General features: G+C 39.5%; 1 annotated feature.

The window, feature by feature from the left end:
* Window positions 18,205-19,109: an enhancer, noted in NCBI's record as "NANOG-H3K27ac hESC enhancer chr10:14459182-14460086 (GRCh37/hg19 assembly coordinates)". NCBI's record gives its function as "activates a minimal SCP1, AML or CMV promoter by ChIP-STARR-seq in naive H9 embryonic stem cells {active_cell/tissue: H9 hESC(naive)}" and the evidence as "EXISTENCE:reporter gene assay evidence [ECO:0000049][PMID:30033119]".

Here is a 19,519-nt window from a genome sequence, read left to right as displayed (position 1 = left end):
TGGGCTTTTATCCCTTTAGGACATTGGTCCTCAGACCCAGGATTAAAAGACCCTTCTGCCCCAACCACTCTGTTTGGCCTTTGGTTTCTTTGTTAGTTTCCATTGTGTAAACATCTGAACCACAAGGGGCTTTAATTGAGTGAAAGGCAGAGTTCCAGCTCTGTTCTGTATTTACTGGAGGTACCATGGGCAGAATGATGTTGCCCGGCCATTGCAACACAGAGATGATAGTATTTTCCTTTGAAACCGTGGTATGGGTGGAACCCATCAAAGGATAAGTTGACAGATACGTCTCACATATGTTTATATCCCCTCCTGCTTCTTAGCACAATTCCTTACCACAGAAAACTCTGCATATATATTTCTGATATGAACAAAAAGCTTTCAATACCATAAGCAGAAGCAAAGATGAAATTTTTAGTGATGGTTTCTAAGGGAGCACCAGAAAATTTTTCAAAATTCTTTTCTTTTTTCTTCTTTTTTTAAATTTCTTTTTTTTTTTTTTTTTGAGACAGAATCTCGCTGTTGCCCAGGCTGGAGTGCAGTGGCACAATCTCTGCTCACTGCAACCTCCACTTCCTGGGTTCAAGCGATTCTCCTGCCTCAGCCTCCCAAGTAGTTGGGATCACAGGCATGCGCCATCACGCCTGGCTAATTTTTTTGTATTTTTAGTAGAAATAGGGTTTCGCCATGTTGACCAGGCTCGTCTCGAACTCCTGACCTCAGGTAATCTCCCCGCCTCCGTCTCCCGAAGTGCTGGGATTATAGGTGTGAGCCTCCGCACCTGGCCTGAAAACTCTTTCCTAACCCTCAATGCTGTCACAAAATTTTCTGCTAAAGAAAAATAGCCAATTAATCGAAGACCACCTAGTCATATTTTAGAATTTTCTCCAGAAAGGAAGCTGCAGGAGGACAGGCTGCTTCTCTGTTTTGATTGTTGATGTATCCCAAGGGTCCAGAACAGTACCTGGCATATATGGGTGCTCAATAGACATTTGTCGAATGACTATCAGATGGTAGACATTTCTAGAAGCCATGGCTTTTCACTAAGGATGAAAGCTATCATTTGCCACCTATTTTAACCCCCTTTTGCCCTCATCCCACCCTGCTCCCCGCCAAAAAAAAAAAAAAACCCTTCAAAAAAGAAATCTCCCTCTGTAGCAGACCACCAAACCTAGATCAACTGTGGTCTCCAGACCTAGAGTATAATAGCTTTGAAAAATATTGCAATTAACAATGAAACACAACTTCTTAAATTCATAGTCACTTATAGACAATCGCAGTAAAGAGAGGATTGAAGCTTTTGAAATAGATTTCATTTTCAACAGGGTCCAAATTATTTTTTTCTGGTACATTTTCATTTTTGTCTGAATTGGTCTGCTTTATACTTCATACAAAGATAGTCACTGTGGTGTCTGAGGCAACACATACACATTATCATGCCATTTATGTGGTTGTGGGGGTAGGTTTCTTTTGCATCCTTGACTTTAACCTCATTATGAGGCTTTTCATTTGTCTTCCCAACTAGAAAGTTTTAAATTCCTTCCATCACGATGAAGGGATACTGCCTTCAATCTAGACTTTAAAAAATCCATTACATCCCAGTGAACGGACTGCCTTCCACCTAGATTTAAAAAAAAAAAAAAGTGAATGCACAGTGTATTGAATGGTGAGAAGAGCTGTGGAAAAGAACAGATAAGAGAAACAGACAGTGATGAGCTCAGAGTGGAAGCTGCTGTTTCAAACTGGGTGGTCAGGTAACCTCACTGAGAAGCTGATATTTTCACACAGCCATGAAAATGGTGGGCAAGTGGCTCACGTGATTATCTGGGAGAAGAACATTGTAGAGGGTAGACGGAGAAACCAGTGCACAAATCTTATTTTTAAAATGTACTTTTGCTGAACCACAGTTTTTAAGAACCTCATCTTATGAAGCAGCACTTGCCTTTATTTGTCTAAGAATGGTAGCATTTTCTAACTAGTGCCTAGTACAAGGTGTGCTCAAATTGTTAACTTCTGTTCATGCTTTTAGCCTCAGTATTATGGGATTTGATACAAAGGTATGTTGTTTTAGTCCATTTTGTGTTGCTATAAGGAAATACTTGCAGCTGGGTAATTTATAGAGAAAAGGGGTTTATCTGGCTCCTGGTTCTGCAGGCTGTACAGGAAGCATGGTCCCAGCGTCTGCTTCTAGTGAGATCCTCAGGCTGTTACCACTTGTGGTGGAAGGTGAAGGGGAGCCAACGTGTGCAGAGATCACACAGTGAGAGAGAAAGCGAGAGAGAGAGAGAGGGAGGCACCAAGCTCTTTATAATAACCAGTTCTTGTGGAAATGACTCTCCCCTATAGGGAAGGCATTAATCTATTTATAAGGAATCCACCCCCATGACCCAAGCACTTCCCATTAGGCCCCTACCTCCAAGACCAGGGATCAAATTTCTGCACAAATTTTGATGGGACAAACATCTAAACAATAGCATATGGATTTACTCTGATTTTATCTTTCTGAGGTCACAAACTTTCTTAACCTCATCTCCAGACTGAGGCCCATTTTCTTCTTGCTGTCTGCCATGTTTTTTTTGTGAAAGGCCTACTCTGCTATCTTCCCATTGACGTTAGTTGTCATTACCCACTTTCAGTTTCAGGATTTTGTGTTAGACTAGGAGGATAATATCTTATGCTGCATTTGCAATCCTTGTTCATGATGAAGCAAATAGCATCATGTTTGCTATCTAGGATCCCATGTATATTTGAGTTGAGTGCTTTAGGGAAGAATTAAATGATTCTCATATGCTTATTTATGAGCCACTGTCTTCATCTGGAATTGTTTCATTGCAATGAATGGAAACCAACTTATTAATGTCTAGATCCGTGGTGTTCCACCACAGGCAGTATTCTCCTACCCTGGGGGCATTTGGAAATGGGTGCAGAATGTATTTGGTTGTCACAGTGACTGAGAAGTGCTCTGTCATTTAGTGCCCAGGGGCTAGTAATGCTAACGTACTTCAAGCTAATGGATGGTCCTGCACAATGAAGAATTGTCCCACTAAAAATGCTTTTAGAATTCTGTTGAGAAACACTCATGTCTGAAAGAGATTGGGGTTTGCCATAACCCAAATAACACTGGGTCACCTTCTGTCCAGTCTCAGCCAGGCTCTCATTAAGAAAGAAATGCAAGACGATTTCCTAAGAACACTTTGGAAAATAAAATCTTTACCAAAACAACCTGAAGGGTTCCAAAAAAGAGTTCCACTTAAACAAATGGTAAAAACTTTTTAAACTCTTTTCTAATGTCTCATTCATTATCCTAACAGCCTTTAGTCTTATTTAATTCTCTCAAAAGATCTCAAACTTCTCCCCAGTCTATCCTGGGTATATTTCTCCAGCGCAGGCTCCCACCTTGAGTAGTTTTCTTTTCTAATACACATCAAGTCTAATCATTCTGCCTTCTTTAATTCTGTACTGGCTGTATGTACCAATTATATGAGTGTGTGTAAATGTGAATGTGGATGAATGTGAGAGACAGGATGAGGCTATAAATACTCATATTTATCACTTTTACAATGGCACAGCAAAGTGGAGATTGATTAAGACTACAGGTAATCTTTTAAAACCCAGTAGCATTCACTAGGCAATGCAGATATGCATTGATATATCACACTATACTCCATAAATATGTATAATATGTGTCAACTTTAAATGTACTAAAACACACACAAACCCAATGGCCAGGAGTATAGCAGTGTATCACAGTGACCAGGATGCCATAAGGCATGCATTATCTCTAACCCGTTCTTTTTGGGTTAAATCTTTCCTCTGTGATCTGTGATATTCCCCACTCAGTTACCAGCTTTCTCAGCCAGCTTCCTGGTTCCTGATCACCATGACTTTACCTTGTATTTGGTTTCTACATGCCAAGTGGTGCCTAACTTTATATGGCCCTGCTTTCAATTCAACACCATCTGATGAATTCACAGTTTGTTTCTCACTTTCAAATTCCTGTGTGGGAGGATCTCATGGGCCGGTCTAGGTTGGGTGCCACCTTCCCCAATCCTAGCAGCTGTCATAGGTGGGCTTGCCCCTTCTGAGCTGTGGGTGAGGCAGATTCTTGAACAAGGGATAGCGATGACGAAGAAATAATAGATATCTTCAGTTTAGCAGTACACGTCCACTTAGTTCATGGTGAAACTAAATCAATATTCAGAAATTCCAGCTCAAGGTTAAGACAATAACTTGGGCTCATTATTCCTTTAAAACAACCAAACTAATCCGGCCAGCAGATTAGTACAGAAGTGCAGAGAAGCTTAATGTGATATGCCTCATTCATTTCTGGCCTTTTATGTTCACAGAACAAGTACAAAGCTGAGTTTTAACCTTTATTTTTGACTTTTCCTGGTTTTCACCCAGTTTGGTCAAAATATTAATACTTATAACATCAAGGGTGGTCTGATTATAAACTCTAGGAAAATTCTAAAGATAGTCCAGACTTCTAAAATGGAGATGAGCTGCTTACTTAGTAGTAGTGTATTAACTCTGGGGCACTGAAGATAATAATTTTAATAGCTACAAAGTCATTAATTAATATTTATGGAGAGACAATGAAGTATACTCAATTTGGTGCCCTGTAACAAAGAATCAAGTTCCTTGCCTCTAACTAGTATTTGTTAAACTTTTATTACATGAGACAACAATCATTTGCATTATTGACTTGGGAAATAAAACCTAAATTATTTTTATGTAGACAGTGAAAGAAAATAAATTATAGTTATTTTTCTTATAAACTGATGCATAGAAGATGTATATAATTTCATGTGATGATTTAATACATTCATATAATTTGTAAGGATCAAATCAGTGTACCTGGGATACCTGTCACCTTAAATATTTGTCTTTTCTTTATGCTAGAACTATTTGAATTCTTATCTTCCAGCTATTTTGAAATATATAATAGCATATTGTAAACTATAGTCACTCTACTGATCTATCTAACACTAGGTCTTATTTCTTCTAGCCAATGATATATTTGTACCCATTAACCAACTTCTCTTCATCATCTCCTTTCCCCACCCCTTCCTGGCCTCTGGTAACCATCAATCTACTCTGTATATTGATGAAATCCACTTTTTTAGCTCCCATTGATGAGTGAGAACATGTGATATTTGTCTATCTGTGCTTGGCTTATTTCACTTAATGACCTCCAGTTTCATCCATACTGCTGCAAATGGCAGGATTTCATTTTTTTTATGGCTGAACAGTATTCGACATTTTATTCATCTGTTCATCCTTTGATGGGCACTTGGATTGATTCCATACTTTGGCTGTTTTAAATAGTGGTACAATATCTAGTTATTCAATCAACTTGAAGACCTCAGAAGTACTGCTAATATAACTAATACTCAACTTTTATTGAAACAGAGAAAGATAGCATTGACTGTGACCTTAGATCTAATTGCAGCCTCTTGTGTTTTGGGGAGATTGAAGCCTGGATAAAGGGGCTATAGGGCCAGTTCAAAGTCACATTGTAAGGGGGTCTCCATTCATAATAGCACATTCACCAGTGACTGTGGTCTGAAGTTGTTAGGTGCTCTCTAAGTAGAGTAGAAAGTTGTTTGGTGAGAGAGCCCCAATCATTGCAAGCTGTAGAGGTTGTTTCCATGTTATTTTGGGTGCTTCCTTAATTAGAAGTCTTAGGATTCTAAGAATGCTGAATAGTGATCAGCTTTACATTATTTTTGTAAAATCATATTCTAGTGTGTCCAAATGTGTTTGACAATTTTTGTATTTTTTTTTTAGGTTTTTGTTTTATGGTTTCAAGTTTTGTGGGTTTTGTTTTTCAGAAAAGCAAAATGAATTCAGACAATTATCTGGGACTATAAGCCATTTAAGAAAGAGCTAATGGAAAATAGGGCCAATAGGTATATGCTAATCAAATAGCAGACAAATAGGCCCAGGAATAAAAGATCCTCAAAAAGCAAAAGTAGAGAAAGGGCCTTCTCAGTGGAGAACAAAACAGATTTTCACATAGATTAGAAGCATCATACCATAGTTACCTACTTTCTAAAAAAATTGAGGCTACATAGAAACAATAAAGTATATAAAATGCACTAATCATAAATGTTCATCTGGATGAGTACGTGAGTGAGTGAGTGTGTGTGTGTGTGTGTGTGTGTGTATTTTCATGCAACCACTACCCACATCAATACCTGCAGTATCCCATGGAGTTGTCCCTACCCTACCCAATACCTGCAGGTATTGTTTGGTTCTGACTGGTAGCATCATTGGATAATTATATTTCTGACCTAAAAGGAATTGAAGTTTTAAACTAGGAAAGTCTAATAAGTTATTTATCATTCATCAGTTTAACAAGTATTTAATGATTGCTCTATAATAAGCAATCAGTGTACAGGCAGTGTACAGGCACTGGCTACTCAGTAGTGAATACAACAGAAATAATTTCTCATTATTATCAATAATGCTGCAACCATCCTTATTAACATTTTGACAGTCTTAATTTCCTTCAGTTTTGTCCTAATTGTGTATCTTCATAAAATATCTTGTAAATATCCATGTATATTATCTTTCTATAGCTTTAATATTGGGTTTGAAATAATTTTTTTGAAGCATAAAGGGCTTGACTTTGAATGTAGACAGAATTAATGAGAACAAGGGAAGGCAACTGTTCCTCTCTTAATCTCCTGGGATCTCTGGCTGTCAGGACCAAGCAGCCTTAGCTACAGCACAATTATTAACCAGGAGCAGCACATCCGTGGTGAAGGCAAAGTGTCCAGACTGAAAAGAATGGATGTTCTTGTTGTGAGTTATATTCTTAGTCACTGTGGTGCAAGAGGAGAATAGTCAAAGAAGGTTGCAAGAAGATGAAGATGGAATGTCATAGGGGAATGCTGCATGGATGACAGCTTCTGTAGGTGGAAATAAATCTCCGCACCTCATTTCATTTTTGAAATACACAGGTTTTCTCCTAAAGGAGAAGTAGGAGGTGAATCTTGGCTGTTGTGTCAGAAGCTTCTCTGTAGTACCCACATCTCAATGACAATGGGATGCTTGCTGAGTGTCTTCCCCCCCACCCCGCCCCCCGAAAGGAAGAAATTCCTAAGATAACTGTAAATTCCAAATACTTTTCTGGGCCAGTGCTCTTGGAGATTTCAGTCCTATCATAGGTAGTCAACGTACGACTTTCTTAAATGAGAACCAAATTCAGATGCAGTTGTTCTTAGGTGCAGTCATTCATAGAAAGGAGAAAAGTACTTTTCAGTATTTTACCATCTTACAGAGATGTCTACTCTCATTCATTCTAATAAACAATGGGCACAATGGAAAGAAAGCCAATCTATCTCCATAAGGAATGGGTTCCGGAAAGTGAGACTTGGTCTACGAGGATTTATGGGGGCACCAAAAGCAATCACCAGACTGGTCATTTAGCATTTACCAAAAAGATTTAGGAAGAAAATAGGGAGAGCTTGCAGACCAGTGTCCCAAGGAACTGTTGAGAGTTCGCTATTCTTTTTCTTCTGAGAGGGAATCAGTGGCAGTGGTAAGCTTCCCAGATCAACACTTATTTCAGGCAATTAAATAGAGGGACTCATGATTGACATGTTTTCATGTTATTCTTTCCTGGCTTGACGTAGAGAATCTACTGGAATTGGGCTAATTTACAAATGAAGGGGTTTCTTTTCTCTTTGGTTTATGGACATAATTGTCTCCATTAGCTTTAACGGAGGTTCAGGGGCTGGATCTGAAATAGGATTGATGGCTTACCGTGGAGGGCTAGCTCTGCGCTCTTAAAACCATAGAAAGGAAATGCAGCGTACATTTCGATGCCCTACCTCTGCTCTGTGAAGAAAATAGGAGCTGTTTGAAAACACGTACATTTTTCTCTATCAGTGCCTTACAAAGAAGTAAAAGGAAGCCCCAGTGTACACAAGAACAGTTTTGTGTGGCCATTGAAAAGATTAAGGATCATCTTAAAAACATCACAAACATTTCGTGTTGAATAATGAGATATAAGCAGCAATAAACGCAGGGAGCCCAACTTCTGCATCTTGTCACCAATACAAGTGTGTCTCCAAAAGGTCAGGTGGGCCAATGAAAAGTTTCATATAATTCAGAGAGTGGCAACCTAATCTCTTAAGAAATGAATATGAGCTATTATCTGGGAAGTATTTCACAGTGAGGGTCTCTGTTTTGTTCTAAGACTGTGTATCAAGAGTGCTATAGGCATTTGGACAAGATAATGAAGTTCACACTAAGTTAGGAAACCAGCTTAATTAATGAATTAATCATCACATGGCGTTATGTACTCTGTGAAAATGACAATGGGCTGTGGGTGAATGGAACTCTACTTAGGATTTAATTCATTTCTATGAATGTTAATTGTCTTGTCCATGGTCTGGCACATATTTGGCACTCCACAGCATTTGTTGAATGAAAGCATGAATGACTGCTTATAATATGCAATGCATTATTCTAATCAAGAGAGTCAAATATGGCTGTCGGTCTCAATAAAGTGTTTTAGGAAAGTGGTCTGGATCCAGACCCCAAGAGAGGGTTCTTGGATCTCACGCAAGAAATAATTCAGGGAGAGTCCAGAGAGTAAAGTGAAAACAAGCTAATTAGGAAAGTAAAGGAATAAAAGAACGGCTACTCCATAGGCAGAGCAGTGCCCAGGCTGCTGGTTGCCCATTTTTATGGTTATTTCTTGTTAAATGCTAAACAAGGGGTGGATTATTCATGCCTCTCCTTTCTAGACCATATAGGGTGACTTCTTGATGTTGCCATGGCATCTGTAAACTGTCATGGCGCTGGTGGGAGTATAGCAGTGAGGATGACCAGAGGACACTCTTCTGGCCATCTTGGTTTTGGTAGGTTTGGGTAGGTTTACTGATACCTGTTTTATCAGCAAGGTCTTTATGACCTGTATCTTGTGCTCACCTCCTGTCTCATCCTGTAACTTAGTATGCCTTAATCATCTGGGAATGCAGCCCAGCAGGATTCAGCCTCATTTTACCCAGCCCCGATTCAAGATGGAGTTGCTTTGGTTCAAATGCCTCTGATAAAACCACAATACAACAGATGCATATACAAACCTAGCGAATCCTTTTCCCAGCTCTAATAGTTTAAATACAAATATAAAGCAGATTATCCTAAGGGAAGTTTTTTTTTTTCTTTTTTTCAGAAGTATACACCAGGTATAATTGGAGAACTAGAAAAGGGAGTGACAAATTCTGTCTGAAGAGTTCTAGGAAGGCTTCAGGGAGGAAGCAATAGTTGACCTAGATAGCTGATAGAAACAAAAAGGGAAGACTAAGCAGAGGACCACAAGTGTGGAGATATACACTCTTTAATTGTATAGCATAGCTAAAGCTAATTGGGTGTGTTTGGGAAGACCATGTAGGTGGAGGAAGGTAGAGGTGGACACGTTCTAATCAAATTGTGAAGGATCTTGACTATCATATGAAGGACTTGGGTTTTTTTTAAATTATGGAATAATTTTTTAAAAGAGGCTGATGCCATGATTCAATCTGAGTTTTAGAAGGGATTCTCACATCAATGTAGATAATATATTGAGAAGGAGAAAAATGGTGGTAGACGATGATATGCATGTAGAGCCATTTTAATAATCAAGTGATAATGATGGTGATCTTTGCAAGGGCAGGAGCAGTGGCAATAGGGACAGGGAAATAATGTACCTACCATCCCCCACAGCCCCCATCCACCCATCCACCCATCCATCCCTTCACTCAATCAACAGGTCTCTGAACCTCTGCAGCCAACACCAGTACTTTCTCAGCAGCCATTTTATCTCCTTTATTTTTCCAACAAACCTTGATTTCTTTCTGTTATTGGGCAGCCACGTACTTTTGGAGAAGCTAGACTCGCCCTCAGTCCCAGGCAGCTGATCTCAATTAACCTAAACCATTAATTCATCCATGCAATATTTACTGGCTACGTTTTCAGTTCTAGGCATTGTTTCTGGAACCAGGGATGCAGCAGTGAGATGAATAGCCATGATTCCACTGATTAAGATGCTCACACCCTCTCTTTGGGGACACTGCCTTTGACTGGATTAGTTACAGTCAGATTTGTAATGCTCACTTATATCTTTTTTTTTTTTTTTTTTTTTGAGACGGAGTCTCGCTCTGTTGCCCAGGCTGGAGTGCAGTGGCCCGATCTCGGCTCACTGTAAGCTCCGCTTCCCGGGTTCACGCCGTTCTCCTGCCTCAGCCTCCCGAGTAGCTGGGACTACAGGCGCCCGCCACCACGCCCGGCTAATTTTTTTGTATTTTTAGTAGAGATGGGGTTTCACCATGTTAGCCAGGATGGTCTCGATCTGCTGACCTCATGATCCGCCCACCTTGGCCTCCCAAAGTGCTGGGATTACAGGCGTGAGCCACTGCGCCCGGCCGCTCACTCATATCTTAAGCTATTTCCTGGGCATAGATTTCCCCTTGCAGTTAGGCATGACCAAAGTGACTATTTCTGGCCAATGGGCTGTGCATGGAAGTGACAGCATAAATTCTAGGCTAGCGTTCTCCCCCACTGCTGTTCTGAATGAATGGGCCCCACATTCCCAATGGTCCAGGCTACAGCTTACCAGGCTGAATGTCCGTGTCTGCGTGGAGGATGGTGTCCCAGAGAATCACCCTTACTTGAGCAGGCTTCGCTTGAAATAGAAACAGGCCTTTGTTTACACAATAATTAAGATTTGGAGTGTTGATTCTTACTGTAGCAAAACCTAAACTGACTAATATAGTGATCAACACTAATATTCAGGTATTAGCTAAGTGCTGTAGGAGGCTTGGGAAAGTAGCAACTCACAGATAAAAGGAGTCAAAAAGAAAGAAGACTTTGAAGGTGATGCTGGAGCTGGGTCATAAGAATTGAGTTAGCTACGCAGATATGCAAGTAAGAGGCTTCATTGTAGTGGAAACATGCTGGGCAAAAGCTGGGGGTGGAGGGGCTTCAATGGCCTGATGTGCTGGGGGGAATCATGCCTGGATTCCTTTGGCTGCAAGTAGAATGTGTGGCTGAGAGAATGGCTTTTGTCAGGCCAAGAGTTCAGCTCATTACAACAGAAAGCCTTCTGAGCATGCTGACTGTGGATGCTGAAAGACAGCAAGAATTCCAAGTAAAAGAAGAAAATCAAATGTCAGAGCTTCTACTTAATCATGATAATTAGGGGTAGAATTAAGGGTTTCCTTTCCAATTCAGGCTTTCAGTCCTTGCTGTCACTAAATACCATTAAATGAAGTGATATAACCTATTAGGGTCTTTCAATCTGTTCCCTCTGGGCCCACAGAGGTCTCTTTTGAGAGATGAAAACTTTGGAACCAGTAGTGTAAATAGAAATTATCCAGGCAGAATTAACAGAAGTGGGAGGAGGCCATTTGAGTTGTGTATATGTATAGTCTAAAAAAGGAAACCTAAAAATACCCTCAGAGCAGTGACATATTTTGTGGTTGATTTAGTTCTATAGAGAGGGACAATTACACCACTTACCAGGCATAATTATTTTTAAAATGTCTTCTCTATGGCTCACGAACTTTATAATAAAGAAGTATAAGCTGTCTGTTATTCAAAGAAATGAAAATACCACATTTCATCAATTCTGAGACACACTTTTTTTTTTTTTTAACGTTTCAACATCTCCATAATCAGGATATGCCTAACTCTTGGTGTACCATAGTTTAACTGGCAGCATTTGTTGCATCGTAGAATCACAGGCATTGTTGATTTAATGAAATGCGGTCAATACCAATCAGTTGAAGGAGTTCAAAATGGCTGCCTCTGAGAAGCTACATAGACGGTGTGGTGAGGGTGGTAAGGGACTGCTATTGTAGTAACAACCTTGTGAAATTATTTGACTCTTTATGTATACATGTACTTTATTTTTAAAAAAAACTTAAAAATTATGTTTAAAAAGTTTTTTCTTTTTGAGACGGAGTTTCGCTCTTGTTGCCCAGTCTGGAGTGCAATGGTGTGATCTTGGCTCACCACAACCTCTGCCTCCTGGGTTCAAGCGATTCTCCTGCCTCAGCCTCCCAAGTAGCTGGGATTACAGGCGTGCGCCACCATGCCTGTCTAATTTTGTATTTTTAGTAGAGATGGGGTTTTTCCATGTTGGTCAGGTTGGTCTTGAACTCCCGACCTCAGGTGATCCACCCACTTCGGCCTCCCAAAGTGCTGGGATTACAGGCGTGAGCCACTGCACCTGGTAAAAAGTTTTTTTTTTTTTTTAAAAAAGAGGTACGTGCTGTCATAGAACTTGTTCCTTATCTTGAGGGAATTAATAGTCTAGAAAATATTCTTTGGTTACCTTGCAGAACTAAATAAAATTTTGCTTTTCTCCATTATTTCTTGGCATTTCTTTAAAAGAAGAAAACCATGGTAACTAATACTCAGGACAAAAAAAACCTCTTCTACTTGAAGGCAGAAATATGCTACTTATTTTTATATTGATCCCAAAGCTGGGAGTGCAAGCCAATAAAATAAACACATTTATTTAGTCTCACAATAAACGTTTACCAAGTGCCTACTCTGAGCCAAGCAGAGTTCTAAGTGTTGGGGATAAAGTTGTCAGCAAAAAAGACCGATTTTTCTGCCAGAACAAATTTGCATTTGAGTGGGGGAAGACGATTATAAGGAAGTAAATGAGTAAATGTATGTAATGTCAGATAGTGTTAAGTGCCATGGAAAAACATAAACTAGGAAACAGGTAGGGAGTGTTATGAGTTTTTCCTTAGTTCAGCTAAGAGCTGGGTTCTTGTCACATGGCCATAATAGATTAGGCTCGCAGATGCTTTGAAGGGTGAGAATAAATGGAATTTATTGGGCAAAAAGGGAAAAAAGGGAAACATGGACCCTCCACAAAGCCAGAGTCCTGTTAATGGGCTTCCTGCCTCATAGATTGAATTCCAGGTACCACCCAGGAAGAGGAGGGGCTGGGCTCCTCCCTGCTGCAAAAGAACTTCCAAAGGCTCCACCCCAGGGCGCAGGTCGGTCAGAGGTTCTGCCAGGAAACCCTTCCAACCTGGCTGTCTCAGAAGCATTGGGGCTTGTTTGTTCTTATATAGAGAGTGACTGGAGAGGGCCTTACCATAATATGTGCAGAGACCAAGAGGAAATGAAGTCGAAATCATGTGAATATCTGGGAAAAATAGGGATCCAGGCAGAAGGAGCCAGCAGTGCAGAAACCTTGGCCTGGGATGTGTATCACACAATTTTGGGAAAGCAAAGAGACAAGCATAGATGGAGTTGAGGGAGTAAGGAGGAGAATAATGTGATACAGGTCAGAGTGGTCTGGGAGGTTAGATTAGGTAGGACCTAGTAGGTCACTCTAGGAACTTTGGCTTTTTTTTTGAGTGTTAAGAGGAACCACTGAAAGCTGTCAAGAGGAGTGTGTGGTCTGTTTTAGGGTTAACTATGTCTCCCCAAAGTTTATATGCTGAGGTCCTATCCCCTAGTACTTTGGAATGTGACTGTATTTGGAGATAGGACCTTTAAAGAGGTAATTTAGGTAAAATAAAGTCCTGAGGGTGGACTCTAATCCAATAATACTGGTGTCCTTCTAATAAAAGGAGATTAGGACACGTAGGTATGCACACACACAGGAAAAATCAGGTGAAGACTCACGGAGAATGTGGCCATCTATACACCAAGGAACAGAAGCTTCAGAATGGAATCAACCTTGTAAACACCTTTATCTTGGACTTCCAGCCTCCAGAGCTGTGAGAAAATAAATTTCTGTTGTTTAAGCCACCCAGACTGTAGTACTTTGTGAGGGCATCCCTAGCACACTAATGCACTGACCTCCCCTTGAAAATAAATCTAGTCTCTGTGTGAGCAAAGGCGTGGGGTGTAAGGTCACAGCTGGGAGACCAGGCGGAGGTGATTTTGATAATCCAGGTGAGATTGGATGGTGCTTAGTTCTGAGAGTTAGAAGTAGAGGTGGTAAGAAATGGTCAGATTTGGGATATATGTTGAAGGTAGAACAGACAATTTGCTCTCAAAATAGATGCTGGGTGTGTGATAAAGAATGGAATGAAGACTGTCCACAGAGTTTTGGGCCTGAACAACTAGAAAAATGAAGTCACCATTTTTCTGAGATGGGAAAGACAGAGGGAGGAGCAGGCTTGCGGGGAGGGCATGGGAATTAATCAAGATTTTGATCTGTGCATGTGGATTTCACATGCCTTTTTGAGAGCCAATTACTGGATGTTCAAGGCCGAGTAATGGCACATAGAAGGGCTTGAAGAATTTTTTCCAGGTGTGATTTTTTTTTTTCCTTGTCGGCTGAGCCCCCAGCAAATGATCATAACATGCTCAGTGAATAAAGGAGTGGACAAATCTAAGCTTTAGCTTTGCTCTTTTTGATGTTGGGAAAAGCGTTTATCTCTCTGTATCTGAAAAAAATATACATATCTGAAAAAAAATTAATGCTACCACTGAGCTATCTTGCTTTAAGCTAGTCTGATTTTTTAAATCAATAATGATTTGACGGCAGCTCACAGATGCACATTATTAAAAAATGTGCTGCATTTTTTTGGAGGGAATTTTCCAAATGTATTGAAATAGGACATACAATTCAAACAACAAAATGTTTCATGTTCTATAACCTTTCTGGAATAGTTATTGGTCCTTCCCTCCCAATAAACTGTTTACTTCCTCATGTTTCTTGAGGTCTGTCTTTGTTGGGACCTCCAAGAAAAGCACCCTTTTAAGGCTATACCCTACATTAACTTGGCTAAGAGTAGCCACTCAAGTGACTATGTCCAAATGTAGTAAGATGGCAGCCAGTATCCTTTGAAAGAGATAGAGCAGACTAGAGAAACTGTAAAATTCTGCCCAGCTGACACACTGTGATACAAATAAATATTTGTGGATTAAGTTTTTCCAGAAATGATTTTTTCTTGATATCATTTTGATGAAATTTTAAACTTACAGAAAAGTGTCAAGATTGGTACAAGCAACTCCTGGGTAACCTTTACCGCAAATCACCAATTGTTTACATTTTAGCCTACTCTACGTGTGTATGTGTCTGTGTATACTCACACATACATACCTATATGTACATATGCATTTAATTTTTTTCTGGGTTATATGAGATAATTGGAGATGCCATACCCCTTTACCACTAAATACTTCAGCATATATTTTTATAAAACATGAATGTTCTCTTATACAATCATGCTGTCATGATAAAAAATCAGGAAATTTAACATTGATACAATACGGTACTATTATTTAATCCACAATCCAACCATAGTCAATTTTTTCCAATAGTGACAATAGTGTTCTTTATAGGCATTTTTTAATTCAGTCTATGATCTGATCCAAGATCACATATTGTCTTTATTTGTCACAGTTTGTTTTCCTTTAATCTAGAACTGTTTTTCAGCCTGTCTTCATCTTGATCTTGACATTTTTGAAAAGTAGAGGCCATTTATTTTGTGGAATGTCTATTTGTCTTGTCTGATGTATCCTCCTAAGTAGATTTAGGTTCTGTATTTATGGTAGGAATAGAAAAGGCGGATGTTGTGTCCTTCTCCATGCATCATATCAGGGAGCATGTGTCTATTTGTCCCAATATTGGTGATAGTAGCTTTGCTCACATGGTTAAAATGATGTCTACCAGCTCTCTCCATGGTAAAGTTACCATTGCTCCCTTTGGAGTGAATAAGTAATTTTTTGGGCAACACCATGAGACTTATGTAAGTATCCAGTTCTTTATTACAATTTCACCTACTTATTTTTATATACATTGATGAATTTCTGCCTTTAGGTTGATTGATTTTTATTGGCTATAGACTGAAGCATCTTCTTCCACAGCTTTTGATGATAGCATATGGCATCTATTGAACCAAATACATGCAGGATTATTCCTTTCCAGACTGATCTGTAGAGCTCAGCGGGTCATACCTGAGACACACATGTGCTGATGGCATTCGTTGGTATCAACACCTTGCCTAATGCTCTGGCAAGGTGTCATAAAATTAATGGAACTCCCAGGAATCTGAAAGGGTCTGTGTCAGTTGTTATTTAATATTTGAAGACCATCTTATATAGCTGAGAGTTCCATATATGCAGAATGTGTGTCATCTACATATACTTCTGGATGTTACAGTAAGTGTTAAAAAATCAGTCCTTGATATAAGATTGCTTTGTTTTCATTTACCTTTACCTTTCAAAAGTGAAATGCAGCAACCTTCTAGTTGCTTGAGATTTCATTTATTTTTTTTTTTTCGTTCTGCCATGAACTTTTAACATAAGCTAAGTTTTTTTATAATTACTAATTTATTTATTTTTATTTATTTATTTTATTATTATTATACTTTAAGTTTTAGGGTACATGTGCACAATGTGCAGGTTAGTTACATATGTATAGTTGTGCCATGCTGGTGTGCTGCACCCATTAACTCGTCATTTAGCATTAGGTATATCTCCTAATGCTATCCCTCCCCCATCCCCCCATGCCACAACAGTCCCCAGAGTGTGATGTTCTCCTTCCTGTGTCCATGTGTTCTCATTGTTCAATTCCCACCTATGAGTGAGAATATGTGGTGTTTGGTTTTTTGTTCTTGCGATAGTTTACTGAGAATGATGATTTAATTTATGTTTTAATAAATCGAAGAGCTGCATAGCTAAATGTAAAACTATACTTTCTAGCAATTTTAATAATCTTTCTTTTTGTAACATGGAAGCACATAGATGTTGCTACTCACATATCTGTATGATGGCTTCTCCCTCCTCTCCTTGTTACAGAAGTTTTACATTTGAGTGGGCATGCATTATAATTTTTTCTCAGTTTTTCTGTGAATAACAACTATGCAATGCCAGGCAAACCAAACTAAGGTACAAGTTATTTATGTGTTTAAATGATAATTCATGCCAAACAGTCAATATTATTGACCCAAGAGTATTGAATTCATAAATAATAAAATTATTTTAAAAATATTTAGCAAAATGGAAAAAAACATTCTCAGAAGTTTTTAGTTCTCTTATATGTCTCAGTGGCTTACAGATCATCAAGTTCTTCCAGGTGATTATAACATTTAAAGATCAGTTCAGCCCTGGCTTGGGGTCACACAAACTCTGGAGCAATCATGGCCTGGCCCACTCCAGGATTTGTTTGCTAATAACTGTTTCCTTCCAGATTCTTCCAACCCTCATACGTACCTGTGTAGACGCGGGGGCTTAAATGAGAGGTCTGAATGAATTAAGGAACAAAGCTAATACTTACCAACATGGGTGCTGGAACATAGTGCAGTAGAATGCTCTTGTTACTGGAAAGGGGTCCCGATCCAGACCCCAAGAGAGGGTTCTTGGATCTCGCGCTAGAAAGAATTCAGAGCAAGTTCATAGATTAAAGTGAAAGCAAGTTTATTAGGAAAGTAAAGGAATAAAAGAATGGCTACTCCATAGACAGAGCAGCCCTGAGGGCTGCTGGTTGCCCATTCTTACGGTTATTTCTTGATTATATGCTATTCATGCCTTTCCTTTTTAGACCATCTAGGGTAACTTCCTGACATTACCATGTCATTTGTCAACTGTCATGGCAGCGCTGGTGGGAGTGTAGCAGTGAGGACAACCAGAGGTCACTCTCATCACCATCTTGGTTTTGGCGGATTTGGGTTGGCTTCTTTACTGCAACCTGTTTTATTAGCAAGGTGTTTATTTATGTTTTATTAGCAAGGTATCTTGTGCTAACCTCCTATCTCATCCTGTGACTTAGAAGACCTTAACCATCTGGGAATGCAGCCCAATAGGTCTCAGCCTTGTTTTACCCAGCCCTTATTCAAGATGGAGTCACTCTGGTTCATACACCTCTAACATTCTCAGGCTGCCATTTGTAGAGAGCTTTCTTCACAACCACATGCAGAGTGAGGTGGAATGGGATTTCTGCTTGCCTGTTGTTGTAGGGTTTGTAAAGCAAGTCTCAAGCGTTGCTTCCAGTGAGGAATGTAAGAGTCCTGGAATTCTTAATGCGCTCTTATATTGCAAGAACAAACTCACAATCTTTTCAGAGACAGCAAGAGATAAGTATTAAACTCTGATCTTGGCTGTATGTGCTCAAAAGGAGAAATCCTAGGTTACAGTTTGATTATAGTGGAAGGGATGAGTGTGCAGAAACCTGCCAGCCTAGAGGGACACTTCATTATGATGATGGCCCAGGGTTGTATCTTTTTGTCAGATGTGAGATCCAGCAAATCTTCAAAGAAAGTAGACACACAGAGACCTCGTGCTCATACTGGGGTTACCATCTTAAAGAACCCCTAGTTTCCTTGCAATGGACTGAATATTATTGCCTTGCAAAAGGCGTCCATTCCAACCATGTTCTTTTTAATGGGAGTAGCAAATCCAGCAGCACAGGAATTAATTAATTGTTTTGTGAGAACTAAGCTCTGATTTTTTTTCTATCTTGCCCAAATATCTGAGGGGTCTGGGGAGTCATGGCCTACAAACCATAAATTCTCATCAGATGTGTTTTGTATAACCCCGTATATCATTGATTTACTTTCGAATCTGACTCTGGCATAACAACATGTGACAAAGGAGAAAATGAAAATATTTCATCCCAAAACATGTTTCTTTGCCATATTTTGAAATGGCCCTGCAAAGCCATCCTTTGTGGGGGAAAATTTGCATCTGTGAAGAATCTTTATTAACACAGCTAGATCTTTTTGTTGTAGGCCCTCCCAATCCTGAAGAGATTAACCGAGCGTCTACCACCTTTTGAAAGTCTGAAGGGAAAACATTTGTCATGTTTTTTCTCTAAGGGCAGCCACTATGAGACTTCAAAAGAACCTCCACAATCCTTTATCTTAACTTGAACATTTCCTTTCTATTGATCCCAGGTCTTTAGATAAACTTAACCCATTGTCAACCAGAAAATGTTTAAATTTACCTATAACCTGGAAGCTTCCTACTTTGAATTGTCCAGCCTTCTCGACCAAACCAGTGTATTTCTCAGATGTCTTTGATCTCTCATGCCTCCCTAAAATGTATGAAGCCAAGCTGCACCCCAACCACCTTGGGCACATGTTCTCAAGCCGTCCAGAGGGCTGTGTCATGGGCCATGGTCAGTCATATTTGGCTCAGAATAAATTTCTTCAAATATTTTATAGAGTTTGACTCTTTTCATTAGTATGTATACTATTTGGAGTATGGCTGGGATGCTGTGTAGTCTATAGGATGAATATGCTCTTTTTACCTAGGTATGTATATACTTGGTAAAGTTTCTAGCAGTGTCCTTGAAGCTTTCAAATATTCACCACTATTTAGAAGAACTAAGTTATGGTTCAGTGACTCTAGTAATTTCTTTATGCAAAATCCAACAAGGCATCTATAGATAAAAGTGAAATCTTTACCCTCTTTGGGAGGTTCCTTACAGAGCCAGGAGAGTGGCTGCCTCTTTTTGGTTGTCCCCATGGATTCTGCTTCCCTTCGATGCTTGTCTATTGAACGTGTAGGCTAATAGGCCACTGTTTTATTAAGTGGAAGA

The sequence above is a fragment of the Homo sapiens genome, chromosome 10, assembly GCF_000001405.40.
Source record: "Homo sapiens chromosome 10, GRCh38.p14 Primary Assembly".
NCBI classification, from domain to species: domain Eukaryota; kingdom Metazoa; phylum Chordata; class Mammalia; order Primates; family Hominidae; genus Homo; species Homo sapiens.
Note: the sequence above shows the minus strand (reverse complement) of the source record. Positions and strands in the feature narration are given on the sequence as shown.